The sequence below is a fragment of the Homo sapiens genome, chromosome 1 (assembly GCF_000001405.40).
Source record: "Homo sapiens chromosome 1, GRCh38.p14 Primary Assembly".
In the NCBI taxonomy this organism is placed as follows: Eukaryota; Metazoa; Chordata; class Mammalia; order Primates; family Hominidae; genus Homo; species Homo sapiens.
Genome location: NC_000001.11, coordinates 150795653 through 150823143, shown reverse-complemented (window position 1 = coordinate 150823143; position 27491 = coordinate 150795653). Strand labels below are relative to the sequence as shown.

Below are 27491 nucleotides of genomic sequence, written 5' to 3'. Positions count from 1 at the left end.
ACAGAAAACACTTCTGATGCCCTATGTGGGGGGTAAACAATCAAGCAACAACACAAAAATTTAGCCGGGCGTGGTGGCATGTGCCTGTAGTCCCAGCTACTCTGGAGGCTGAGACAGGAGAATCACTTGAACCTGAGAGGTGGAGGTTGCAGTGAGCTGGGATCATGCCACTGCACTCCAGCCTGGGCTACAGAGCGAGACTCCATTTCAAAAAAAGAAAAAGAAAAAAGAAATCAAGCAATCAGTAGTGGACACCAGCTGGGTGTCCTTCCATTCAATTCAGTTCACTATCTACTTGGAGATAGCATCAGATCCCCCAATTTGTGTATGCAGTACCACAAGACTGCTCCCACTTCTGATGCCAGTTGCAAGCCCCAGGTTGTTTTACCTGTGCATCTGACTGACCAGCTGTCTCCCATGACCCCCTACTTGGGTTCAGTCAATTTGCTTGAATGGCTCAGGGAACATTTACCTATGTTTACCAGTTTATTATAAAGGATATTACAAAGGATACTTTGTACATCAGATGAAGAGATAGATAGGGCAAGGTAAGGAGGAAGGAGTGCAGAGCTTTCAGACCCTTTCTGGGTGGGCTACCCTCCGGGGATCTCCATGTGTTTACCTATCAAGAAGCTCCTCAAACCCAGTCCTTTTGGGTTTTAATGGAAATTTCATTATGTAGCCATGAGTGATTAAATCATTGGCCATTGGTAATCAACTTAACCTTAGGTACCGGCTCCCCTCCATGAGGTTGAGGGTTAGGGCTAAAAGTCCCAGCCCTCTAATTTTACCTTGATCTTTCCAGAGATGAGCCCCCATCTTGAAGCTACCTAGGGGTTGCCAGCCCTCAGTCAACTCATTAGCAGACAAAAAGACACTTATCACACTGAAGATTCCAAAGATTTTAATTGGTAAAAATCCAGGTCCACTTATACATGGATTTTTTTCAGTAAATATATTAGAAAATTCTTTTGATATTTGTGACAATTTGAAAAACCCAAAAATAAGCTACATAGCCTGGATATATTGAAAAAATTAGAAAAAGTTAGCCATGTCATACATGAATGTATTAAATATATATAAATTCTAGTCTATTTTATCATTTACTACCATACAACATATACAAATCTATTATAAAAAGTAAAAATGCTGGACAGGTGCAGTGGCTCACACCTGTAATCCCATCACTTTATCACTTTGGGATACCAAGTTGGGATACCAAGTTGAGCAGATCACTTGAGGTCAGGAGTTCGAGACCAGCCTGGCCAACATGGTGAAACCCTGTCTCTACTGAAAAAAAAAAAAAAAAAAAAAAGAAAATACAAAAATTAGCTGGGCATGGTGGCACACGCCTATAGTCCCAGCTACTTGGGAGGTTAAGGTATGAGAATCACTTGAACCTGGGAGGTGGAGGTTGCAGTGAGCTGAGATCGCACCACTGCACTCCAGCCTGGGTGACAGAGGGAGACTCCATCTCAAAAAAAATAAAAATAAAAATGTATCACAACGTATACATACACACCGTTTGTACAATGGCACCATTTGTAGTTGAGAGAAATGTAAACAAATGTAAAGATGCAGTTTTAAATCATAACCGCGTAAAGTTAACTATAGTATATACTGTACTGTTGTAATAATTTGGTAGCCACCTATTGCTCAATTGTTGCCAGTTTGCTTAAAATGCTGTGTGATGCTAATCATCTCTTCATGAGCAATTCACTCCAGTAAATTGCATATTGCAGTAAACAGTGAAATCTCATGGTTCTTGCATATTTTTCATCGTGTTGAGTGCAATACTGAAACCTTGAATAACATTTGGGAACAGTATGAAGTGCCACTAGTGATGCTGGAAGTCTTCCCAAGAAGCAGGGAAAAGTCATGACATTATAAGAAAAAGGTGAATTGCTTGATATGTACTATAGAATGAAGTCTGCAGCTGTGGTTGCTTGCCACTTCATATAGATGACTCATCTTGTAAGTCATCTTGTAAGATGATATAAGCTTATGATAACGATAAATACAGTACAGTGCTGTAAATGCATTTTCTCTTCCTTATGATTTTCTTAATAACATTTTCTCTTTAGCTTTATTGTAAGAATACAGTACATAATACGTACAACATACAAAACGTGTTCAACTGCTTATGTTATTGGTAAGGCTTCTGGCCAACAGTAGGCTATTAGTAGTAACGTTTTGGGAGAGTCAGAAGTTTACAGTCGAATTTTCGATGGCACAGGGGTCAGTGCCCCTAGCCTCCATGTTGAGCAATCAGTTGTATTTCATAATATCACATAGGCATTTTCCAATGTTGGGATTTCTAATGTACCAACTCTTCTTAGTCTTATCAAGCTATCCCTTTCTCCTCTACTTTTCTAGTATTAAACACCATTAGTTTGAAGTTCTTCATTTTCCAGCTTATAGGATTTGGGATAGTTGATCAGAGTAGAGTAAGGTTTTTTTGTTTTGTTTTGTTTTGTTTTGTTTTTTCAGACAGGGTCTCGCTCTGGCACCCAGGCTGGAATGCAGTGGTGTGATCATGGCTCACTGCAGCTTGAACCTCCCAGGCTCAAGTGATCCTCCCACCTCAGTCCCCTGAGTAGCTGGGACTACAGACATCTACCAAGACGCCTGGCTAATTTTTGTATTTTTTGTAGAGATGGGATTTTTCCATGTTGCAGAGTCTGGTCTTAAACTCCTGGGCACAAGCAGTCCATCGTCCTCCCAAAGTGCTAGGATCACAGGCGTAAGCCACTGCACCTGGCCAGAGTAAGATTTTACAAACAATAATTCAGAGACTAGGTCCTGAGATGGAAGGGTTTAGTTTCAATTCTATGTATCAACTCTTTCTGGAAAGGACTATGTTTTGTACACCAGTTTATTGCTCTAGTCTGGCAGGATTTTCCTCTGGAGCAGGGGTAGGCAAGCTCTTTCTATAAGTGGGGCTAGATAGTAAATATTTTAGGCTTTGTGGGCCATGTGGTCTTTATTCCACCTACTCAACTCTGCTGTAGCATGAAAACAGTCATAGACAAATGAAAGAATGGGGCTGTGTTCCAGTAAATCTTTATTTAGAAAAACAGGCAGTGGGCCTGATTTGGTCAGTTTTCTTTAGAGCATAGCTACATCCTCCTCTTTCATTAGTTACTGTTCCTCTCTTTTGCACTTTTCTATTTGAGTTTTCTTTCTCAGTTTCTTTTTTAAAAAGTTTTATGAGATATATTTCACATACCATATACCTCACTCATTTAAAGTATACAGTGTTTTTTAGTATATCACATAGTTATGTAACTCTTACTGCAGTCTAATTTCAGAATATTTTCATTCCCCCAAAAGAAATTCTAGATCAGTTAACAGTCATTCCCTGTTCTTTCCCCCGGCTCTGAAATTCTGTATAACTATGAATCTGTTGTCTTTATAAATTTGTCTATTCTAGACTTTTCGTATAAATGGAATCATAGACTTTGTAATTCCTTTGTAACTGGCCTATTTTACTTAGTATAATGTTTACAGAGGTTATCTGTACTGATACATGTTGTAGCATGTATCAGTACTTCATTTCTTTTTATTGCCAAATAAGATTTCATTGTATGGATATACCACATACTGTCTGTATGTTCGTTAATGGACATTTGGTTGTTTCTACTTCTTGGTTATCAAAAATGCTTCCATATGTAAAATAGGGATAAGGAACTGAAAAAATGCTTTCATGAATATTTGTTTACTAGTTTTTATGTGGATATATGTTTTTATTCTCTTGAATTCCACCCAGGAGTGGAATTGCTGGCCACATAGTAACTCTGTTTTACCTTTTGAGGAACTGCCAAACTGTTTTCCAAAGCTGCCCCATCATTTTGCATTCCCAGGAGCTCTGATTCCTCCACATCCTTGTTAACACTTGTTATTGCCTTTTTTTTTTTATTGTAGCCATCTAGTAGGTATCAATTGTCAGGTTACCACCTTGCCATTTAATCTTTTCTTTCTGTAGAATTGGCCTTGAATCCACCTCTTGAAGATCAGATTATGACTACTTAGCAAATATGAATAATACCTAGTGACAAGTTTTGTCCAATTCAGTCTTTAGAACTTGTAAAGTTTAATTCTTTGCTAACTAACTTAGTATAACAGAGTGGATTGAGTTAGAAATTTTTATTAACTTAGGACTCAAGTGGATGGTCATGGTCATTGTAGTTCTTTATTTTTGTCTCTTTGCATCTTTATATTACACAACAGCCTTCATTTTTGTGTTTCCATTTTGTTTAAATTTTTAAAAATTTAAGTTGTTTGAAGGACTCGAGTTTCTGGAAATAATTGCTTTCTCCATGTTTATGTATCATTTTCCCTACCATGATTAATTTTAATTAGCTTTTAGGGATTTGTTTGTTTGTTTGTTTCATTGAGACAGTGTCTCACTCTGTCACCCAGGCTGGAGTGCGGTGGCGCTATCTCAGCTCACTGCAACCTCCGCCTCCCAGGCTCAAGCAATCCTCCCATCTGTCTCCTGAGTATCTGGGACTACAGGAGCCCGCCACCACGCCTGCTAATTTTTGTATTTTTTGTAGAGACGGAGCTTCACCATGTTGCCCAGGCTGGTCTCAAACTCCTGAGCTCAAGCAATCCACCCTGCCTCAGCCTCCCAAAGTGCCAGGATTACAGGTGTAAGCCACCGTGCCTGGCCAGTATTTTATTTTTAAATAAATATTCTTTATAGAAAATGTGGAAAGTATTGAAAAATACAAAGAGAAGGAATAAAATTCTCACACTCCAGATAGTCTTTGTTGATGTACAGTGTATGTACTTTCATTTTTTTACCTATGCTTTTAAAAAATACCTTATATGAATATATACACACATTCACAATAACCAGGTTTTGAATACCTAGAAGGAGTTAGAACCCAACAAGATGACCCCTGTGTCATAGAACATGGTTTCTGTTTGCTGAAACTGACACCCTAGATTAACTATAGGATAGGACTTTAATGAAGGATTTATTGATTGTTCCACCTACAGATGAATCTATAGAGCTTTACATACAGAATCTTATTCTTCTCTTTCTCTCTCTCTCCCCCCTTCCTCCCTCTCCACCCCCTCTTTACTGTCTACTCTGGTTTCCTAGGAACTCTAGCCAAGAACCACGGCCTACACTCTCCAACACAATCCAGAGGCCACAACTAGGTCCCACAGCTAATTTACCCCTGGAGATGGGCTCAGGACAGCTGGCACCCAGGTAAAAAAGGGTGAAATAATCATCTGTTGAGCAGTCACCCAGGGGGTGGTCATTTGCAATCCCATATATTTTTTGTTCGGTTGGTTAATTTTTTTTTTTTTTTTTTGAGAAGGAGTTTTGCTCTCATTGCTCAGGCTGGATGGAATACAATGGCACGATCTAGGCTCACTGTGACCTCTGTCTCCTGGGTTCAAGTGATTCACCTGCCTCAGCCTCCCAAATAGCTGGGATTACAGGTGCCTGCCACCACCCCCGGCTAATTTTTTGTATTTTTAGTAGAGACGGGGTTTTGCCATGTTGGCCAGGCTGGTGTCGAACTCCTGACCTCAGGTGATCCACCTGCTTCGGCCTCCCAAAGTGTTGGGATTACAGGCATGAGCCACCATGCCCGGCCTGTTTAATTTGTTTTAAGGTTCTTTCTCCAGATTCTTTTTTAAAAAAAATTTTTTTTTCTATTTGTCTTGTCAACTGGCCTTTGACATATAGGCAGCAGCAACAGCAAACAGAATTGGACATGGTACCAGGAAGAGATGGACTGGCCAGCTACAATCATTCCCAGGTGAGTTGTGTCCTCTTCGTTGAAGAGGGTAGGGAGTATTTACTTAGGAAGTGTTCTCCGGTACTAGTTAGAATGTACATATGTTGTATATGAATTTTAGGGTTATTGAATTGTCATGTTAAATCTTTAATGGTTATTTTTATCATTGTATTCCACAGGTGGTTCAGCCTGTGACAACCACAGGACCAGAACACAGCAAGCCCCTTGAGAAGTCAGATGGTTTATTTGCCCAGGATAGAGATCCAAGATTTTCAGAAATCTATCACAACATCAATGCGGGTATGTTTCTTTCTCATTATCCTTTTAAATTCTCATTTAGATCACTTACTGATGGGCATGCCACTGCCCAGTCAGTAATCTTCCAGTGTTTTTCCACTTAATCATAATACCACCTGAGTAAATAGGAACTTGCTGAACTAATATACTACAGCCCCTTGACTGGCCCTTCCCCAACTCCTTTTGGTCCACAGATCAGAGTAAAGGCATCTCCTCCAGCACTGTCCCTGCCACCCAACAGCTATTCTCCCAGGGCAACACATTCCCTCCTACCCCCCGGCCGGCAGAGAATTTCAGGTGAGCCCCGTATATATGTGCTGCTTTACAGGGCCCTGAGGGATTCAGCTGCTGAATCCAAATTTTATTCTTCCCTTGCTTTCTCTGGTTACTTCAGAAAAAGCAGTGAAGCTTGTAGGGCCTAGCGTGAGGCAAACAAGCTGCTTTTCTTCCTCCTATTTCTTTGCACCTGTCCTATTGCCATGTTCTAGGCTCCATCTCTGTGTGTCCTGGTCAGTGTGTGACTGTCAGTCTTTCTTGTCTTTTCCAAATTGTTATCAAATTTTCCTTAACCTGCAGGAAGTCAAGGGGATCTAGGGATAGCACTAGATTGTCCTTTGATTCCTAGCTTCTGTGATAAATCTATCCTTTTAATCTTTTACCTCATTTATTCACTCCTAGGAATAGTGGCCTAGCCCCTCCTGTAACCATTGTCCAGCCATCAGCTTCTGCAGGACAGATGTTGGCCCAGATTTCCCGCCACTCCAACCCCACCCAAGGAGCAACCCCAACTTGGACCCCTACTACCCGCTCAGGCTTTTCTGCCCAGGTAAAACTTATCATCTGTGTGTTCCCTGTGTATTATTTTTTGTTTGTTTGGGCTTTTTTCCGTATGTAAAATCAGTGTTTTCTATTTTAAATACCTTCTCCCCAACCCCTGTTCTCCGGTTTCCAATTTCCATCTTTGTTGAGAGTAGCTAATTAAAAATCACAGATAATAAAAAAAAATCTCAGTAGAGTCTGTGGTTTTCACCTTAAATCAGAATTGCTCACTTGGAACGTTTTGAGCACGTCTGATTTTCAGATTTGTTTTGGAGTAAATTCTAAGATGTTTCCTCTTTGTTTAGGACTCCATAAGGCAGGAGCAAAGGAGAAAATTAATGACTAACTTACAGTGATGTCTGTTTACAAAAAAGTTGAAAAATTCTTTTTTTTTTTTTTTTTGAGACAGAGTCTTGCTCTGTCGCCCAGGCTAGAGTGCAGTGGTGCGATCTTGGCTCACTGCAAGCTCTGCCTCCCGGGTTCACGCCATTCTCCTGCCTCAGCCTTCCAAGTAGCTGGGACTTGTACAGGCGCCCGCCACTGCGCCTAATTTTTTTTTTTTGTATTTTTAGTAGAGATGGGGTTTCACCATGTTAGCCAGGATGGTCTCAACCTCCTGACCTTGTGATCCGCCCACCTCAGCCTCCCAAAGTGCTGGGATTACAGGCGTGAGCCACCGCGCCTGGCTGAAAAATTCTTTTTTTTTTTTTTTCTTGAGACAGACTGTCACTTTGTTGCCCAGGCTCTGGAGTGCAGTGGCGCGATCTCGGCTCACTGCAAGCTCCGCTTCCTGGGTTCATGCCATTCTCCTGCCTCAGCCTCCCGAGTAGCTGGGACTACAGGGTGCTCGCCACCACGCCTGGCTAATTTTTTGTATTTTTAGTAGAGACGGCATTTCACCGTGTTAGCCAAGATGGTCTTGATCTCTTGACCTCGTGATCCGCCCTCCTCGGCCTCCCAAAGTGCTGGGATTACAGGCATGAGCCACCGCATCCAGCCGAAAAATTCTTTTATAATATTCATATATATAATATAACGCACAATAAATACACTGTCTAAAGAAAGATTCTTTAATATTACTATATATTTATGTTATACAAGTAATAGTTTTAAAAAGTCAAAACCAAAAGCAGGTTCCAGAATGTTATATGCAATACGATCTCAATTGTGTACAAAATGCATGAGAAAATAGAAACTGGAAGAAATTATCCAAACATGTTAACCATGGAATTATGAATGATTCTTATTTTCTTTATATTTTCCTTCACTTTCTGAATATTCTATAATGCATATACAGAACTCTCATGAGAAAATAGTTTTTATAAAAAATACATCATTAGGAACAAATGAATGCAGAACAGACAGAATAATGGTGCAGAGTAGTTTTTCTCTGCATATGGTACTTTTTTTGTTGTTTGTTTTTTTGAGACAGAGTCTCGCTGTTGCCCAGGCTAGAGTGCAGTGGCGCGATCTTGGCTCACTGCAACCTCTGTCTCCCGGGTTCAAGTGATTCTCCTGCCTCAGCCTCCTGGGTTGCTGGGATTACAGGCACGTGCCACCATGCCCAGCTAATTTTTGTATTTTTAGTAGAGACGGGGATTTCACCATGTTGGCCCGGCTGGTCTGGAACTCCTCACCTCAGGTGGTCTGCCTGCCTTGGCCTCCCAAAGTGCTGGGATTATAGGCATGAGCCATGAGCCACCCCGCCTGGCCTGCATATAATACTTTACTGTTATGAATGCCTCTAGTTTTATATAACTTCACAGTTTATAAGATGCTTTCATTTAATTCTTACAATTTTTATTAATCCCATAGTTCATTGCTTTTTTGTAATTTTATCTCAGCTGCCTAAAAAATAGTGTCAAGAGAGATTGAGAGTTAATTGGAAGAAATATACAATAGGAAATAAGTGATGAGCTTGGTTCAGAAGGATGCAGTGATTGACAGTGTTGACTCTCATAGGCATGGTATGTGCAATGATGTTAATGCTGTATTTGTTCTATATCCCCTCTCCATCTCTCTTTAGCAGGTGGCTACCCAGGCTACTGCTAAGACTCGTACTTCCCAGTTTGGTGTGGGCAGCTTTCAGACTCCATCCTCCTTCAGCTCCATGTCCCTCCCTGGTGCCCCAACTGCATCGCCTGGTGCTGCTGCCTACCCTAGTCTCACCAATCGTGGATCTAACTTTGGTGAGTCCAGACCATAAGGAGAGTAACAGGAAAATCGCACCACTAAAGAGAAAGGATTTGGTAGTTAAAGTTGTTTGCCTGTGTTGTGGGTACACTGACCTGATTGTAGGGAAATGCAAGGTGACAATCTATTTAGAATTTAAAACCTACCAGCTGGGTGCGGTGGCTCACGCCTGTAATACCAGCACTTTGGGAGGCTGAGGCAGGCGGATCACTTGAGGTTGGGAGTTCAACCCCAGCCTGACCAACATGGAGAAACCCTGTCTCTACCGGGTGTGGTACCGCATGCCTGTAATTCCAGCTACTCGGGCGGCTGAGGCAGGAGAATCGCTTGAACCCAGGAGGCAGAGGTTGCGGTGAGCTGAGATCGCGCCTTTGCACTCCAGCCTGGGCAACAAGAGTGAAACTCCGTCTCAAAAAAATAAAAAATAAAAAAAAAAAACTACCCACATGAAAAATACTTTAGCACATATAACAAAAATCATGTGAATTTTTATACATTTAATAGTATGCACATTTAACCTAAATGAGTAAAGAACTCTATGGAAAGGCTGCCTGGAGAAGAAGAATTAATTTAGGGCTGAGTTTTGAGATAGAAAAGGCATTGATTGGCAGAGAGAAGGACAGAGTTATCCTAGGTAAAATTAATGGCTTACCTATAGTTGTTTACTTGTGGCATTAGTACACAATGGAATTGTGTAGATTGGAGTTGTTTATTCTTCCTTGCTGTATTTCTAGCTCCTGAGACTGGACAGACTGCAGGACAATTCCAGACACGGACAGCAGAGGGTGTGGGTGTCTGGCCACAGTGGCAGGGCCAGCAGCCTCATCATCGTTCAAGTTCTAGTGAGCAACATGTTCAACAACCGCCAGCACAGCAACCTGGCCAGCCTGAGGTCTTCCAGGTAAGAGAGTGAAAAGACTTTCAAAAATTAGAAGCTGGGAGAGAAAGGGTCCAGGAGGAGGAGAGACAGTGAAGGAAGCATGCCTGGATTGAGGTGTTTGGTTGGGGGTATATGTGAGAAGACAGAGAGGGATAAATGTAGGGATCACTGTCAGTTATTGAAAAGATTGCAGAAGCTAGATGCAGTGGTGCTTGTGTATATGATGTCAGCCCCTTAGAAGGCTGAAGCAGGGGATCACTTGAGGCCATGAGTTCAAAGCCAGGCTGAGCAACTAGCCTGATCCTGTCCCTGTCAAACAAACAAAAAAGGAGTATGAATTGAGTGTGATACATACCATTTAACCAGAACAGACAAATTTAGCACCATAGGAAGATGCCAAAGAAAGTTACTTTAGCTCATTCAAATAGCTCCATATACCCAAGTCACAGTAGCTTTGGGTTTAAAAGAGACAGAATGATTAAAAATAAAAAGTAGTGCTCGCTTCAGCAGCATATATACTAAAATTGGAATGAATATAGAGAAGATTAGCATGGCCCCTGCGTAAGGATGACACACAAATTCATGAAGTGTTCCATTTAAAAAATTATAAAAAGTAAATGAAATAGAACATAATGATTATAGCCATAATGGTCTATTTACACAAGTCCTGAGGGACTGCAAGAGTGAATGGAGTAATCTTAGGCAGGACAAAGGAAGAGCTGGTTTAAAGCAAAGATTGAAAGAAAGCAAAACAGGTCTTGGTGGAAAACAAATAGGATAAGAGACTCCATATATGTCTATAGGGGGTTATATGAAATACAGCAAGCAGATTTTTCTCCCTTTGAAAATATTGAGAACTAGGAAAAGGAAAAAGGTGGAACTGTAGGAGGAAGACAGAAGGGATTAGGAAAAAAGGCTGCGATCTAAAGGAGTCAAAGTTGTTGGAAGTAAGGAAGGCTAAGAGCTCAGCACAGCAAAGACTCGGGGTCAGGGATGGTAGTGCAGGGGAATGGTGGAGTAGAACTTGGTAAGTGTAAGAGATCAAGGTGTGTGACCCAAACTTAATCTTTTTCTTTTATCAGGAGATGCTGTCCATGCTGGGAGATCAGAGCAACAGCTACAACAATGAAGAATTCCCTGATCTAACTATGTTTCCCCCCTTTTCAGAATAGAACTATTGGGGTGAGGATAAGGGGTGGGGGAGAAAAAATCACTGTTTGTTTTTAAAAAGCAAATCTTTCTGTAAACAGAATAAAAGTTCCTCTCCCTTCCCTTCCCTCACCCCTGACATGTACCCCCTTTCCCTTCTGGCTGTTCCCCTGCTCTGTTGCCTCTCTAAGGTAACATTTATAGAAGAAATGGAATGAATCTCCAAGGCTTTTAGGACTGTCTGAAAATTTGAGGCTGGGTGAAGTTAAAACACCTTTCCTTATGTCTCCTGACCTGAAATTGTATAGTGTTGATTTGTGCTGAGATCAAGAGGCAGGTTAGAAGAACCTGACATCCACTGTTTGCCTTGGATAGTATGGCTTGTTTTTGGAAAGAAATTCTGAAGAGAGTGGAGGAGAGGAGAAATGTCCTCATATTTGAGGACCATGAAACATTGTAGGTATATATGGGGCTTTAGCAAGTTTGAGCATAGGCTCTTTTTGCTGCCTGTGAGCAGTCCCTCTGGAAAGAAACATGTGAGTAAGTGAGAGAGAGTGTGTGTGTATGTGTGTGTGTGTGTGTGTGCGCACACATGCTTCTGTATTTCACTCTTTCTCCCTATTAGGGAGTTATGCAAAATTTGTCCCCGATTTTACCTTTGTCTTTCTGTGTACTTTTCAAAGAGTCCTAAGGAGTTAAATCTTCCAGGTATTTTCCACTTAGTATTGCAGCCAAAGAATATTTAAATAAACGTCTTTGCTGCGCTTGCATCCATGCCCAGCCAATATACAACTGTAAAGCAAATATAGAAAGTCGGCTGTTGATACGATTGTCTGTTATCGAACACATTCAGTGATAAAGCTGGGTTACTGCTGCTTTTGGTGCTCTCACCTTATCTGGAAGATCTGCAAACATTACCTAAATAGGCTGGCAAGATAAACACTTTCTGGAACCCGAGACTTGGCCATAAAGATAATGCTGCATTTTTCTGTCAGAATCACATATGATGTGTGTTCTGTAGAGGTTATTTCTGCATGGAAACTCAACTTCTTGGATTAGCCGTCCCAGTGAAAATCCTCATTGTTGGAGTGTAAACCAAATACGAAGCCCTCTTGCAAAGTAGCCTCTTTCATCCCATACTCAAAATACCCAGTTTAGCAAGCAACTGAGATTTAAGTCTCTCTGGCCCTAAGAGGTTTTTCCTCTTTGCTCCCTCCAATCTTGAGATTGGGTTTTGCTTTAGAGTGCAAGTATCATAATTCCGTATGATAGATGGGGCCTGGACACCCATCTCAACAGGGTCACTTGGTAATTAACAATAGCCATATAAATGCGGATACAGGTTACTACCCTCACCCTTTACCTTCCTCAGGTAACAGTCGTAGATACCAGCTTTTTTTTTTTTTTTTTTAAATTGGCTTTGGCCAGTAGCTAAAGTGCAAGACTGAATTAATGAGAAGATATATTAAATGTAGTCATAGGGGACTGAGGAGCAAGGGTGGCCTTGAAGAGGCCAAAGGAATGTCCATTTGCTGAGTTTCCCTTCCTTATGTCTCCAGTCTGGTGCCAGGTAGTGGAGTAAAAAAGGAGACAGTTTATTTTTTTATTCTATGTGCACACTTACAGTATACATATATATTTATATCACAATTTACGAAACCAAAAAGTTGAGTTTCCAATGGAACCCTTGTTTTTTAATAATCGACTTTTTAAATGTGATCAGGACTATAATATTGTACAGTTATTATAGGGCTTTTGGGGAAGGGGAGGATAGCGAGAAGATGCTCTGGGGGTTTTGTTTTTGCTTTTCCTTCAGGGTTTTATTTTTGACTGTTTTGTTTTCTTGTTGGCCATTTCTGTATTGCTGGCATCTGTGCTAAGCTTTACAGTGGCAAAAATAATGACATGTAGCAAAGATTTTCAAACAAAATATTTTTTCCTTTTGTAAAATTTCTTGTGTTGTGTGATCTTGATTGCGGCTTTATCATTCCTTTCCAGTTCATAAACAACAGGCACCCACAACCAGAGGAATCTATAGTTTAAGCTCCAGACATACAAACATAAGGCACATTGTGTCTTTAATTTCAGGAATCAGAAATCATAGGGTTCTGATCACATTGCACGCCTCCCCCCTCACTTGTCCTCCTGATCCTGACACATTCTGAGTAACATCAGCAGGAATGCTCTGACCATGAGGTGGGGGTTTTGGGGTGGGCGTTGCCTGGGTTCTTGGGAGAGAGGGGAAGAGTCGGGACTTGAAAACCACTAGGGCACATCTGGATGCCTTCCCCCAGTATGTCCTTTTCTGGATTAAAATGAGTGAAATTTAAACTGTTCAAGTCTGGACCTGGTTTCCCTCTAGGAGACTATGTTGGTTCATTAGCAACTTTTTTTTTTTTTTTTTTTTTTGTGTGTGTGTGTGTGTGTGTGTGTGAGAGATGGAGTCTCGCTCTGTTACCCAGGCTGGAGTGCAGTGGCACGATCTTGGCTCACTGCAACCTCTGCCCCTTGGGTTCAAGCAATTCTCCTGCCTCAGCTTCCCAAGTAGCTGGCACTACAGGTGTGTGCCACCATGCCCAGCTAATTTTTGTGTTTTTTTTTTTTAGTAGAGATGGGGTTTCACTATATGTTGGCCAGGCTAGTCTCGAACTCCTGACCTTAGGTGATCCACATGCTTTGGCCTCCCAAAGGCCTGGGATTACAGGCGTGAACCACTGCGCCTAGCCTGTTAGCAGCTCTTAAAATCCAGAGGCATAAGCCTGTATTTTTGAGGGTTTATGCATGGAATCCAGCTAGAAACTGAGTCTATTACAGATCCCATTTATTATCCTTTCTATTCCAAGAAGCCTTTTTTTCTCCTTCCCCACATCTGTTTATGGAAGAAAATGAAGTTTGGGGTGTGGTTTGAGGAATCAGCTAGATTCTTATGATCTGTCACATGCTTGGATGTTGGGGAAGCATTTGGAGAAGCTCATGTGACTTGTCCTAGATTGGGGATTTTAATTGAGACAGATGATGTTTATCGGGCATCCCACCACCTGAGAGTTTTAGCAACAGAGTCACATGTGAGTCCATCAGAACTTACGGCATTGATTCAAGTGCTGTCATAAATAACCAGGACTGCTGTTTTTGGTTACTTTTAAAGACAGTTTCATCTGGACTTTCTGGGCATATCCTCCTTCAGCAAAACCACATTAGGCTGGGAAAACTATTCTGCCTGGAAGTAATGACAACTTGCAACCAACAAGCTTATAAAAATACAAAGAATTCTGGAGCCTATGGCTTCCATTACATTATTCTTTTATAGCCTTTTATGTTCATTACCGCATCCCAGAGGTGAGAGTCAGACACAAATATGAAAATAGGTTTCAATGTTGGAGAGGTAAATCCTAACAGGAAAGGGGTAGGAAAAGATATAATCCCCCAATATTAAAATAAAGATATTGAAGAAGAAGGATGGGAGAGACTAGGGCTGTGTCCTTCCTTTTACTCACCAAAAGAGAAAGTAAGCTCCTATTTGAGTCAATAGATATTGAGGTCTTGTTATTTGCCACCAAAGACAGTCTTGTGAGACTAAATAGCTAGTAATTCCCTACCCTGGCACACATGCTGCATACACACAGAAACACTGCAAATCCACTGCCTCCTTCCCTCCTCCCTACCCTTCCTTCTCTCAGCATTTCTATCCCCGCCTCCTCCTCTTACCCAAATTTTCCAGCCGATCACTGGAGCTGACTTCCGCAATCCCGATGGAATAAATCTAGCACCCCTGATGGTGTGCCCACACTTTGCTGCCGAAACGAAGCCAGACAACAGATTTCCATCAGCAGGTAACGTTTGCAACTTCCTAGATCTTTTAGCTTTTCATTCCTGTCAATTCTCTGAGTATTAGGGATGTAGTGACTTGAGGATCACAATAAACTTTTAGCCTCTGCAGATGAAAACAGAGATGCACTTCTTAGGTCATTCCCTGGCTAAATAAAATCTGCCTGGAAATCTGTAGAATTCCTTGTATGATTTATATATATACATACATGATTGTTAGTAAAAGCAAAGTATATAGGGAATCATTTCCCCATCCTTCAAGAGTGGCCTTTCTGCAGTGTTTTCTACTTTGGCCAACAAGGATCAAAACGGTTAACTCCTTAGTGAGGAGGAGGAGAGTGGTATGGGGAGGTAGTAGCTCAGTGCTTCCTGTTCACTGAGACATCTCAAAGCCCTTAACACTCTAGTTTTTAAATGTCCTACTGGACATTTTGCCAGTTTGCAAAATTACATGTAAATGGACTATAAGCAATTGTGTAAGCCATATGTCATGCTGCAGGCTGCAAATTGTTCTTAAAATGGAGGATTTGTAATTAAGAAAGCCAATGCAAGAAATGAGTGAAGCTAACTAGAGTAAACTTATGAAAAGCTGTGAATTTCATCATCATAGAACATTGCTTTTCAGTCTGAACATTCTTCTAACAAACCTTGGATCTGAGGCTTCTTGTCCTTTGCGGCAGCCACAGTGGGTTTTTGTTGTTAGGGGAAAAATAAAAAACCTTGCCCGCAGCATCTGGTTAAGATTAGGGCAGTTTCCTGCCTAAGGAGGGAAGGGAGAGAAAAAGGAAGAAGAAATGCATAAGGAGAATGAGGAGATATACAATGTCTCAGAAAACAGGAAACATTGTCCTATTTTCCCTTGTCCTCTTCTGACAAGATCTGGGAAAGTACCAGAATTTAGGCACGAAAGAGAAGAACGCCTCGAAGAAATGATCAGGAGGCAAAACTTAGACGGAAATCTCTCCTTTGTGTATTCTGAACCCCACTACCACCTTGCTATTTGTCTGTCTCCAAGCCTGCTAGGGACCCTGGAGGAAACGCACTGAGCCCATTCTGATTGTCCAGTTTCTATCCCCCATTTCTGGTTGTGTACGTGTGTGTGTGTGTGTGTGTGTGTGTGTGTGTGTGTGTGTGTGTGAGAGAGAGAGAGACAGAGAGAGAAACAGAGAGAGTGTGTGTTGCCTAAATCTCCCGAGAGAGAGAGAGAGAGAGAAAGAGAGAAATGGCTAAATCCCCCTAGATCAAAGTCCTTGGAACCAGATGTACCAGCATCCTATCTAAACACAGGCCCCTCCTGACTATCATTGTTTTATCACCCTTTTTCCGTCTACCTTTCTCTTCCTCATAAAGCCTAGTTTTCCTCTGTTTCCCTGCCAAATGGAAGAGTTTTCCCTAACTACATTCTTCTGCAGGATGTGGGGGCTCAAGGTTCTGCTGCTACCTGTGGTGAGCTTTGCTCTGTACCCTGAGGAGATACTGGACACCCACTGGGAGCTATGGAAGAAGACCCACAGGAAGCAATATAACAACAAGGTGCCTGGGGTCCTGGAGGGGGCATGGCAGGAAGGCTGAGACCTGAGCTCTCTCATCTTAGCTTCCAGACTCCCTTCTTCAATCCAAATGCTTTATTCCAAGCAAATCAGTCCCTCTTCCCTAACTCATGTTAACATACGGTTTTCATTCCTATGCTTCAAATCATCCTCTGTCAAACTGTATCCTTCCTTTGCTTTATAAGTGTGTTACATTTCTCTTTTGGGAAGAGTTCTAAGATTAATGCTGTTAATCTATAAGCAATTTTTCTGTCTCTCCAGAGCTTTGTGTTGTATTTGTTTACATATTATCTCTTCTTGCAGGCTCTTAATTCCATGGTTAGTTCCCCAACTAAACTGTAAACTTTTATGATTGTGAGTTTCCTTTATTCTCCTAAAACCCTTCACAATATTACATATGTAACTGTAGACAGTCTATACAAGTACTGACTATGCTTTGTTTAGGTGGATGAAATCTCTCGGCGTTTAATTTGGGAAAAAAACCTGAAGTATATTTCCATCCATAACCTTGAGGCTTCTCTTGGTGTCCATACATATGAACTGGCTATGAACCACCTGGGGGACATGGCAAGTATAGCTTCAGCTCCTGTCCCACCTGCACCATTTGCTTTAGTTCCCTGCTGATGCCTGGCCTCTTTCTTCTTTGTCTTAGACCAGTGAAGAGGTGGTTCAGAAGATGACTGGACTCAAAGTACCCCTGTCTCATTCCCGCAGTAATGACACCCTTTATATCCCAGAATGGGAAGGTAGAGCCCCAGACTCTGTCGACTATCGAAAGAAAGGATATGTTACTCCTGTCAAAAATCAGGTACTCTCCTTTCTTCTGGGTGTGCATATGTAATCTGGCATGACCTTTTCCTTTTTCTGCTGCTTTGTTCTTGAGGTGAAAGGGCACCAGGAAAAGAGGGCAAGGAATTAAGGTACATCTCCCCATTCCCATTCTGTTATTTAACCTCATTTGTTTCTGTACATTTGGGTTGTTTCTGGTTTTTCTTTTTCTTTTCCTTTTTTTTTTTTTTTTTTTTTTTTTGAGATAGAGTCTCACTCTGTCGCCCAGGATGGAGTGCAGTGGTGCAATCTTGGCTCACTGCAACCTACACCTCCCGGGTTCAAGCGATTCTCCTGCCTCAGCCTCCTGAGTAGCTGAGATTACAGGCACGCGCCACTACGCCTGGCTAATTTTTCTATTTTTATAGAGATGCGTTTTCACCATGTTGGCCAGGCTGGTCTTGAACTGACCTCAGGTGATCCACCTGCCTCAGCCTCCCAAAGTGCTGGGATTAGAGTCATGAGCCATCGCGGCCTGGTTTTTCTTTATTACAAATAGTGTTGCAATAAGCACCCTTGTGCATATGTTTTTGTGCACATGTACAAATATTTATGCAAAATAAGTCCTAAAATTGGAATTGTTAGGTCACAAATAATCCTTTCCCCCCCCCCAAATTTTTTTTTTTTTTTTGAGACAGCGTCTCTGTCACCCAGGCTGGAGTCCAGTGGCGCAATCATGGCTCACTGCAGCCTCAACGTCTCAGGCTCAAGTGATTCTCCAACCTCAGCCTCCCTAGTAGCTGGGATTAGAAGCACATGCCACCACACCCAGCTAATTTTAAAAAATTTTTTGTAGAGACAGAGTTTTGCCATGCTACCCAGGCTGGTCTCAAATTCCTGGGCTCAAGCAATCTGCCCGCTTCGGCCTCCCAAAGTGCTAGGATTACAGACATGAGCCACCATGCCCAGCCCAAAAAAGTTTTTGCAATCTTACATTCTTACTAGCATGAGAATGTCAGTTTTTTCACAACCCAAACAACACAGGATTGTATCAGCAAGATAAACAATTGATTTAACGTTCATTTAACAAACACTTTTTGACCCCCAGAACCTACCAGATGCAGTGTTAGGCAGCAGAGACTCAAGATGACTAAGACACAACCTGTGTCCTCAGGAAATCTCAATCTAAAAAAATAGAACAGGAAAGAAAGAAAAATCTACAATCTAGCTGCACAAACAATAATAGCTAATACTTTTTGAGATTTTATTGTTTGTCAGGAACTTCTTAACTCTTTACATGAGTTAAATATTTAATCCTTATAACAATATTTTATGCATAGAGAAACTGAGACACAGGCAAATTTAGTAACTTACCCGGGGTCACATAGCTACTGGGTGGCAAAGTCAGGGTTAGCACCCAGGACAAATGCCTCCACAGCTGGTACTGTGCTCTGCTTTACTGTAGCTAATAGTAAAAATGGTAGCAAAAATCAATAGCAGTAGAACAGTGCAACAGATATTAAGCGGAAGAGGAAGACTCACAACAATGACAACATTTGTGCTGAAATTTTTAGAACACATGGAATTTCTTCAGGCAGGTAGAGAGAAGATATAGAAAATGTAAACAGCAAAGATTGATAGTTTCTCTGTATGCCTTTCAGGGTCAGTGTGGTTCCTGTTGGGCTTTTAGCTCTGTGGGTGCCCTGGAGGGCCAACTCAAGAAGAAAACTGGCAAACTCTTAAATCTGAGTCCCCAGAACCTAGTGGATTGTGTGTCTGAGAATGATGGCTGTGGAGGGGGCTACATGACCAATGCCTTCCAATATGTGCAGAAGAACCGGGGTATTGACTCTGAAGATGCCTACCCATATGTGGGACAGGTGAGATTGCTCCACACAATTATACAGCTCTGTTGGCTCCTCCTTCCCCAGCATGATGTTTTGTACTGGAAACAATTCCAGAAATACTGTTTTCTGTTATCCTATCCTGCTTTCTTGATGGAATAATTTCCCACAGAAGGCCAAGAAGATTTCCACAATCTGGGGGAATTTAGGGAGCTTAAGCTACTATAGCTCCTATTTGCATCTCTGCCATGGAGAGAAAACAGAGGCTAGGCTACCTACCCCATAGACTTCCGAGCTGGGTTCTATAACCCTCTGCTCAATTCCTCACTCCCACAACAAACCCACAAACCCACCATGCTATTTTCACAAATTGTGTGGCTTTATTTTATATGATCTCAGTGTGAGTTTTCAGAACATTTCAGCAAATTATGTAAGTTTACATGCTAACATCTATAAAATGAGAGAAAAAACAAGTTGCTTCATATAAGAGATAAGGGATTAACTCAGTTCCTCCTGCATGATCCTCTAGTCATAGGAAGGAAATCATATCTGAAAGGGAGGCAACCTGAGGGGTTTTTTATACACATAGGGCTGGGTCTGATAGACAATATAATGTAGGGCCTTCACAACAGAAACCTCTGAAACAGGGACAGCAAGTTTGAGAATAAAAATGATGGCTACTGTGTTCTAAGCCGTGTCCTTAGTGCATTTTTTCTTTTTCTTTTTTTCATTTAATCTCATAACAACTCTGTTAGGTAGACTTATCTTGAATGTATAGGTGAGGAAATGGACACTTAAGGAGATAAGACAGTATAATTCATACCACTAGTATGTAACAATGTAAGATGTATCTACCAGGGATGTTTATCTTCTGCAAACATTCCTAGGTATATCTCCCATGCACATGTGCAAGAATTTCTTACTAGGATATAATGCCTTGGAACTGAATTGTCTGGGTCTTAGGGTATGTCTGTCTTCAACTTTACTACACAATGTCAAATTGTTTGCCAAAATATTTGGAAAAATTTATACCTGCAATGTGTAAGAAATCCCCTTCAATCACCTTTTTATCAGTATGTTTATCTGGCCATTTGCATTTCTTCTTCAGTGAATTAACTGTTTTTATCTCTTGCTCATTTGTTTTTCTTTTTATTTTTTTGAAATAGGGTCTTACTCTGTTGCCCAGGCTGGAGTGTGGTGATATAGTCATAGCTCACTGCAGCCTCCACTTCCTGGGCTCAAGCAATCCTCTCGCCTCAGCCTCCCAAATAGCTAGGATATAGGTGCATGCCATCATGCCCACCAATTTCAAAAAACCTTTGAAATTTTTTTTTGTAGAGGCTAGGCATGGTGGCTCATGCCTGTAATCCCAGCACTTTGGGAGGCTGAGGTGGGAGGATCACTTAAGCCCAGGAGTTCCAGATCAGCCTGGTACAACATAGCAAGACCTCATCTCTACAGAAAAAATTTTTAAAAGTAGCCAGGTATGATGGCGTGCATAGTTCTAGCTACTCAGGAGGCTGGTTGGGAGGACAACTTGAGCCTGGGAGTTCAAGGCTGCTGTGAGCTGTGATCATGTCACTGCTCTCTAGCCTGGGTGACAGAGTGAGACCCTGTCCCCAAAAACAACAACCGTTTTTTTTGGTAGAGACATTGTCTCGCTATGTTGCCAAGGCTAGTCTCAAACTCCTAGGCTCAAGCAATCCTCCCACCTCCCAAAGTGCTGGGATTATAGATGTAAGCCACCATGCCTGGCCTACCCTTTTTTTTTTTTTTTTGAAATGGAGTTTTGCTTTTGTCACCTAGGCTTGAGTGCAGTGGCGCGATCTTGGCTCACTGCAACCTCCACCTCCTGGATTCAAGCAATTCTCCTGCCTCAGCCTCCTGAGTAGCTGGGATTATAGGCACCCGCAACCACGCCCGGCTAGTTTTTGTATTTTTAGTACAGACAGGGTTTCACCATGTTGGCCAGGCTGGTCTTGAACCCCTGACCTCAGGTGGTCCGCCCGCCTCGGCCTCCCAAAGTGCTGGGATTACAGGTGTGAGCCACCATGCCCCACCCCTTACTCATTTTTAATTGGATTGTTTTTTCTCTTTCTTAGCGATTCTTAAAAGTTTAAAGAGAATATTTGGATACAATACTATGTATTTAAAAGTTGAGGTTTGTCTTTTCATTCTTTTTATGATGTCTTTCAATCTAGAAAAGTTAATTTTAATAGGCCTGGCGCGGTGGCTCACGCTTGTAATCCCAGCACTTTGGGAGGCTGAGATGGGTGGATCACAAGGTCAGGAGATCAAGACCATCCTGGCTAACATGGTGAAACCCTGTCTCTACTAAAAATACAAAAAAATTAGCTGGGCGTGGTGGCAGGTGCCTGTAGTTCCAGCTACTCGGGAGGCTGAGGCAGGAGAATGGCGTGAACCCGGGAGGTGGAGCTTGCAGTGAGCCGAGATTGCACCACTGCACTCCAGCCTGGGCAACTGAGCAAGACTGCGTTTCAAAAAAAAAAAAAAGTTAATTTTAATATAGTAAAATTAGTAAAATGATTAATTTTCCTTTGCAATTTTTGTAATGTGTTTTATTCGTTTATGAATGGAGAAAGGTAAGAAAAAATAAAATTTAAAAAAGAAGAGATGTGGCCAGGTACGGTGGCTCACACCTATAATCCCAGTAGTTTGGGAGGCTGAGGCAGGCAGATCACTTGAGGTCAGGAGTTTGAGACCAGCTGGGATAACATGGTGAAACCCCATCTCTACTAAAAATACAAAAATTAGCCAGGTGTGATTGCGCACGCTTGTAATCCCAGCAGGCTGAGGCAGGAGAATTGCTCGAACTCAGGAGGCAGAGGTTGCAGTGAGCCAAGATCATGCCATTGCACTCCAGCCTGGGTAACAGAGACTCTGTCTCAAAAAATAAAAAGATAAAAAAGAAGAGATCTGATAGGGCGGCCAGATAACATTTTAAAGGGATGGTATTATAAGTTTGTTCCAGCATAATGCAGGTTATTCTGACTTTAAAGTATCATCACATAATATCTTTTTGAGTCAATTTCCAAGATATTCTGTTTCACTTGTAATTCTGTGTAATTTTTGGCACCAGGAGGCATCAGGGATTTGGAGCACATGGCAGAAACAAAGGCATCTTGAAAAATATCAAGGCAGTAGACCACTGTAATCTTAAAATGGCATATCAAATGCTGCTATTGCTGTTAATATTTAGATAATGTTAGATAATGTATTTTTTTAGAGGGTATCTCACTATCTTGCACAGGCTGGAGTAGAGTGGCTATTCACAGCATGATCACAGTACACTAAAGGCTCAAACTCCTGGGCACAAACAATCCTCCTGCCTCAGCCTGCTGAGTAGTAGATAATAAGTTCTTGTGGATGCAACCTTAGGGTTCTGAAGGGGTAGTCTGTAGGAAAATGAATTGCTGAAAAGAATACACCACCTTAACATGGGCTATTATTCGATTCCATAATTGTGGCTTGCCAATGAAACATTGCTAACTACCTGTAAAATATAGTGTTGGAAGTCATAGGCTAAATTGCTAAGTTCTTTAATCTATTTTAGTGTCTTGTTATGTACTTTTATATTTTGTCTTTGATGAGAGCACAAGGATCACACCAGTTCCCCTGATATAGGTGCAGAGGGCCCAGGTCTTCCCTCTAGCTAAGCCTTGGCCTTGGCCTCCTACCCACACAGCAGCTGGTGCCTTCCTGCCCCCTGAGGCTAATACATACTATGTGGCCAGAAGATGGTTTATGCTTTTTAAAAAAATCTTATTTCAGAAATCTTTCCCTACTGTTTTCCTCCCACATTTATGTCTTAAAACACCTGTAGTTGATTTTTTTTTTTTTTGAGATGGAGTCTCGCTCTCGCCCAGGCTGGAGTGCAATGGCGCGATCTTGGCTCACTACAAGGTCTGCCTCCCAGGTTCACGCCATTCTCCTGCCTCAGCCTCCCCAGTAGCTGGGACTACAGGCGCCCGCTACCACGCCTGGCTAATTTTTTTGCATTTTTAGTAGAGACAGGGTTTCACTGTGTTAGCCAGGATGGTCTCGATCTCCTGACCTCGTGATCCACCCTCCTCAGCCTCCCAAAGTGCTGGGATTACAGGCATGAGCCACCGCACCTGGCCTGTAGTTGGTTTTTATGTGTGGTGGAAGGCGGGAATCCTCTTTTCATATTCGTTTTTCTGAGGAAGAACAGACCCTCTCTAGAAACCCTAGACTGCTGCCTCTGTTAGTTCACTGGCATCACTCAAAATATTGGTTGAGTTTCTTACTCACTGACTCATTGCCTATTGCTTTGTCCTAGTCCTATTACAATCTTGTTTCTTCCAGGAAGAGAGTTGTATGTACAACCCAACAGGCAAGGCAGCTAAATGCAGAGGGTACAGAGAGATCCCCGAGGGGAATGAGAAAGCCCTGAAGAGGGCAGTGGCCCGAGTGGGACCTGTCTCTGTGGCCATTGATGCAAGCCTGACCTCCTTCCAGTTTTACAGCAAAGGTAAGAAGCTGCTGATCCTATACAGCACTGTCTTTTATGATACAAACTTGATGGTTTCTCGAAGGACCTTGGGTATTTTCAGTACTTAGTTTTTGTATTCACATGGAGGTGGCCAGAGAGAAATTAACAACTGCTGCAGTATGGAGCAGCATCTCTGTGGTAAACCCTCCTGACACGGATGGAATTCTTCAAACAGTCTCCTAGACTGGGAGATCCCACAGGGTGACCCTTGGATTGCATAGAGCCTCACGCTGGTAGTTTGTATTCTAGGTGTGTATTATGATGAAAGCTGCAATAGCGATAATCTGAACCATGCAGTTTTGGCAGTGGGATATGGAATCCAGAAGGGAAACAAGCACTGGATAATTAAAAACAGGTAATGATGGGAACACTACTTTTGTTATTCAGTCACCCTTTTAACACTCAACCTCACCTCCAGCTTCCCGATATTCCTTTCTCTGTCCCAAATCAAGAAAAAATTATCTCAGAGTTCTCACTTCTATCTTCTCAGTCAGAGGCTCTTAATTCTCAGTCTGACACTTAATGGCCAGTGTGTTAGTCCATTTTGCATTGCCACAAAAGAATACCCGAGACTGGGTAATTTATAAAGAAACGAGGTTTGTTTGGCTATACAAAGCGTGGCACTAGTATCTGCTCAGCCTCTGATGAGGCCTCAGAGCTTTTACTCATGGCAGAAGGCAAAAGAGGGAGCAGGCATGTCACATAGTGAGAGAGGGAGCAAGAGAGAGAGGGAGGTGCCGACTCTTTAAAGAACCAGCTCTTGCATGAACTAATAGAGTGAGAACTCACTCATCACCAAGGCGATGGCACCAAGCCATTCATGAGGAATCCACTCTCATAACCCAAACACCTCCCACTATGCCCCACCTCCCACATTGGGGATCACATTTCAGCATGAGACTGGGAGGGGACACACATCCAAACCATATCCGCCAGACAATAGTGCTCAATTATGTGCTGGGCAGATGCTCCCTGTGTGCAAGGTGCTTAGTGACATACATAAACCAACGAGCAGATGACACCTTCAGTGAGCTCAGAGCCCAATAAGACAGACCTAACTAACCATGAGATAAAGCAGTACAAAGAACCAGCAGGAGCTTTGGAATTACGTATTTTTACTTTCTTTTGTCTCTAATGTGATCAGTTTCTTAGATGGTTTCCATTAGCAATCTGTCTTTAACAGTAGGGGAACAGCGTAAAGGTTTAATATTCCTTTGAACAGTTTTTTTCCTTCAAAATACACTTAAGATACACGTATATAAGAACTTGCCAAAGATTGTGAAGAGAAACATTTTTTAGAAATAAGATATAAACAAAAAAAGTTAGTGTTTACTTTCCTATGTTGGGGAACAAAGAAAACTCCAGGGTACCTTGCTTCCCATTTCTCTTTAGCACCTTGTGACTTTTGGGGAGGGGCAGATTGATAACAATTATAGTTTTCCTTTCCTGGCTGATCACCATTAACCTGGCAGCAGCACTGGCTAAATCTCCTGTCCTTAGTGCCCTCCAAGGAGCAGGAGCCCTAGACTCTGGGTCGCTGACAGACTCACGCAGTGGTGTTGTTCAAACCTGAAGCAACTTTTTATATCACAGTTCCAACTCAAGGTGAACCTGAGCATCTTCCCAAGTCTCCCACAGCTTCTGTCCTGTGTTGTCCCTTCTCTTGACTCCCAGGTCCAAGCACTTACCCTGTTCTTTCATGATCAGGTACCATGTGTGGAGATAGCTTCCAAGAGAGCTGGGAGGAAGAAAGGACACACCCGGGCAGGATCAGGAACACTGGGGGCCCCTGGAGAAGGGGAGAGTGGGGGAGGGTACAGGTTTTAAATAAAATGTGTTGGGTAATTAGAGAAGTTGCTGGTTGGGGAAAGAGGACTGAAAACAATTCAGGAAGATAAACAGACAATCTCTCCTCTCTCCTCTTTCTCACGTCGTCTCTCTTGTCTTCTAGTCTCGCTACTCATTTCCTTAGTAATCTCATCCACTCTCATAGTTTCATCCATCTCTCCTATGGGGTTTACTCCCAAATCAAGATCACCAGCTTCAGCCTCTTTCTTATGCTCTAAACTCACATTTTCAAGATTAATATTCCCCAAATACAGCTCTGATCATATCACTCTCCCACTCAAAATCCCTCACTGGCTCCTCACGATGATGGGTCACAGAGTAAAGGTGAAGCTTTTTAACCTTGCAGTAAAGGTAATTCAACCTGATCTCAATCTGCCTTTCCAGACATCTCTCCCACTACACCCTGTTAGGCACACTGCTTTTCAGCTACATGATCCTAACAGTGCCCCACACTTTCCTGCCTCTGTTGTTCATTTCACACCCTTCCACTGGCATCCCCTTCCCACAGGTCGAAATTCTACTTAGCCTTTTGGCTCAGCTCAAATGCCACCTCTTACATCAAGCCTCTAAGATTCTCTTGATCAGAAGGAATCTTTCCCTCCTTTGATACCTACAGTATTATGCCTTCTCCCTATTTCTTGACTTTAAACTCTTTAAAGTTAAAAAACATCATATTCATTTTTGTGTACCATCAGTACCTCGCACAATACTCAGTAAATATTTTAATGAATAAATAAACTGAGAGTACTAAGTATTTTTCTTGATTGGTCTTACAGCTGGGGAGAAAACTGGGGAAACAAAGGATATATCCTCATGGCTCGAAATAAGAACAACGCCTGTGGCATTGCCAACCTGGCCAGCTTCCCCAAGATGTGACTCCAGCCAGCCAAATCCATCCTGCTCTTCCATTTCTTCCACGATGGTGCAGTGTAACGATGCACTTTGGAAGGGAGTTGGTGTGCTATTTTTGAAGCAGATGTGGTGATACTGAGATTGTCTGTTCAGTTTCCCCATTTGTTTGTGCTTCAAATGATCCTTCCTACTTTGCTTCTCTCCACCCATGACCTTTTTCACTGTGGCCATCAGGACTTTCCCTGACAGCTGTGTACTCTTAGGCTAAGAGATGTGACTACAGCCTGCCCCTGACTGTGTTGTCCCAGGGCTGATGCTGTACAGGTACAGGCTGGAGATTTTCACATAGGTTAGATTCTCATTCACGGGACTAGTTAGCTTTAAGCACCCTAGAGGACTAGGGTAATCTGACTTCTCACTTCCTAAGTTCCCTTCTATATCCTCAAGGTAGAAATGTCTATGTTTTCTACTCCAATTCATAAATCTATTCATAAGTCTTTGGTACAAGTTTACATGATAAAAAGAAATGTGATTTGTCTTCCCTTCTTTGCACTTTTGAAATAAAGTATTTATCTCCTGTCTACAGTTTAATAAATAGCATCTAGTACACATTCATTTTGTGTTGGATACTGTGTTAGGTGCTGGAGGAAAAAAGATGAATAGAACATCTTCTATGTACTTGATGCGCTCACAGTCTGGTTGTAGAGACTGTCACATAAACATTTCATCCCAATTCATTTATTTGTTCATTCCTTCAGCCAATATATATTGAGTTCTTACTCTGTGCCAAGAACTGTACTACATTTCTGGGATTAAGTGGATATAAGGAGATCTCAGTGTTTAATCTGCCTGAGGGGAGACTAAATTAAGTGACATGGAAACTTGGGTCTTGAAAAACATTTTAAGGTTATTTTTTCTTTTCTCTCTCTCTCGCTCTGTCTTTCTCTCTCTTTCGTCAGGGTCTCCCTCTGTTGCCCAGGCTGGAGTCAGTGGCACTCATAGCTCACTGCAGCCTTGATCTCCTGGGCTCAAGAGTTCTTCCCACCTCAGTCTCCTAAGTAGCTTGGACTACGGTGAACACCACCATGCTTAGCTGATTTTTTAAAAATTATTTTGTGGGAGGCCGAGGTGAGAGGATCGCCTGAGCCCAGCAGTTTGAGACCAGCTTGT

General features: G+C 42.1%; 2 protein-coding genes and 2 pseudogenes across 39 annotated transcripts in view, besides 2 other annotated features; 3 read left to right on the top strand and 1 right to left on the bottom strand.

Moving 5' to 3' along the window:
• The window catches only part of ARNT (aryl hydrocarbon receptor nuclear translocator), a 66887-nt gene extending 53456 nt beyond the window's left edge, over positions 1–13431 (top strand). For 15 of the 38 annotated variants that reach the window (XM_047420715.1, NM_178427.3, XM_005245153.2 and 12 more), the window contains 8 exons: positions 5114–5224; positions 5711–5783; positions 5942–6062; positions 6254–6356; positions 6738–6885; positions 8905–9067; positions 9806–9972; positions 11034–13431. In XM_047420715.1, coding sequence (XP_047276671.1) covers positions 5114–5224; positions 5711–5783; positions 5942–6062; positions 6254–6356; positions 6738–6885; positions 8905–9067; positions 9806–9972; positions 11034–11123 — 976 coding nt within the window. In that variant the 3' untranslated portion in view covers positions 11124–13431. The remainder of the gene's footprint in view (positions 1–5113; positions 5225–5710; positions 5784–5941; positions 6063–6253; positions 6357–6737; positions 6886–8904; positions 9068–9805; positions 9973–11033) is intronic. The other 23 variants (XM_047420716.1, NM_001197325.2, XM_047420711.1 and 20 more) reach the window with 4 other exon arrangements.
• Positions 10446–10553, top strand: RNU6-1309P (RNA, U6 small nuclear 1309, pseudogene; annotated as a pseudogene).
• Positions 14884–26936, top strand: CTSK (cathepsin K). Its single transcript, NM_000396.4, has 8 exons — positions 14884–14930; positions 16338–16458; positions 16920–17042; positions 17128–17283; positions 18905–19123; positions 23435–23600; positions 23871–23976; positions 26246–26936. Exons 2-8 carry the CDS (start codon positions 16339–16341, stop codon positions 26343–26345), a joined length of 990 nt encoding a protein of 329 aa, NP_000387.1. The 5' UTR covers positions 14884–14930; position 16338; the 3' UTR covers positions 26346–26936.
• Positions 21447–21591: an enhancer, noted in NCBI's record as "145 bp 1:150774101 sequence used in MPRA reporter constructs". NCBI's record gives its function as "activates a minimal TATA-containing promoter with rs149447143 allelic activity by MPRAs in C283T melanocytes and UACC903 melanoma cells {active_cell/tissue: C283T | UACC903}" and the evidence as "EXISTENCE:reporter gene assay evidence [ECO:0000049][PMID:36423637]".
• Position 21519: a transcriptional cis regulatory region, noted in NCBI's record as "rs149447143 or 1:150774101 MPRA-significant variant associated with a GWAS melanoma risk locus at 1q21.3". NCBI's record gives its function as "allelic transcriptional activity by MPRAs in C283T melanocytes and UACC903 melanoma cells {active_cell/tissue: C283T | UACC903}" and the evidence as "EXISTENCE:reporter gene assay evidence [ECO:0000049][PMID:36423637]".
• On the bottom strand, positions 22119–22671 carry UBE2D3P3 (ubiquitin conjugating enzyme E2 D3 pseudogene 3; annotated as a pseudogene).

Coding starts and splice junctions, on each gene's coding strand:
- CTSK (NM_000396.4), top strand. CDS start 16,339: ATGTGGGGGCTCAAGGTTCTGCTGCTACCTGTGGTGAGCTTTGCTCTG. Junction 17,284..18,904: donor TTACTCCTGTCAAAAATCAG/GTACTCTCCTTT, acceptor TATGCCTTTCAG/GGTCAGTGTGGTTCCTGTTG. Junction 19,124..23,434: donor CCTACCCATATGTGGGACAG/GTGAGATTGCTC, acceptor TGTTTCTTCCAG/GAAGAGAGTTGTATGTACAA.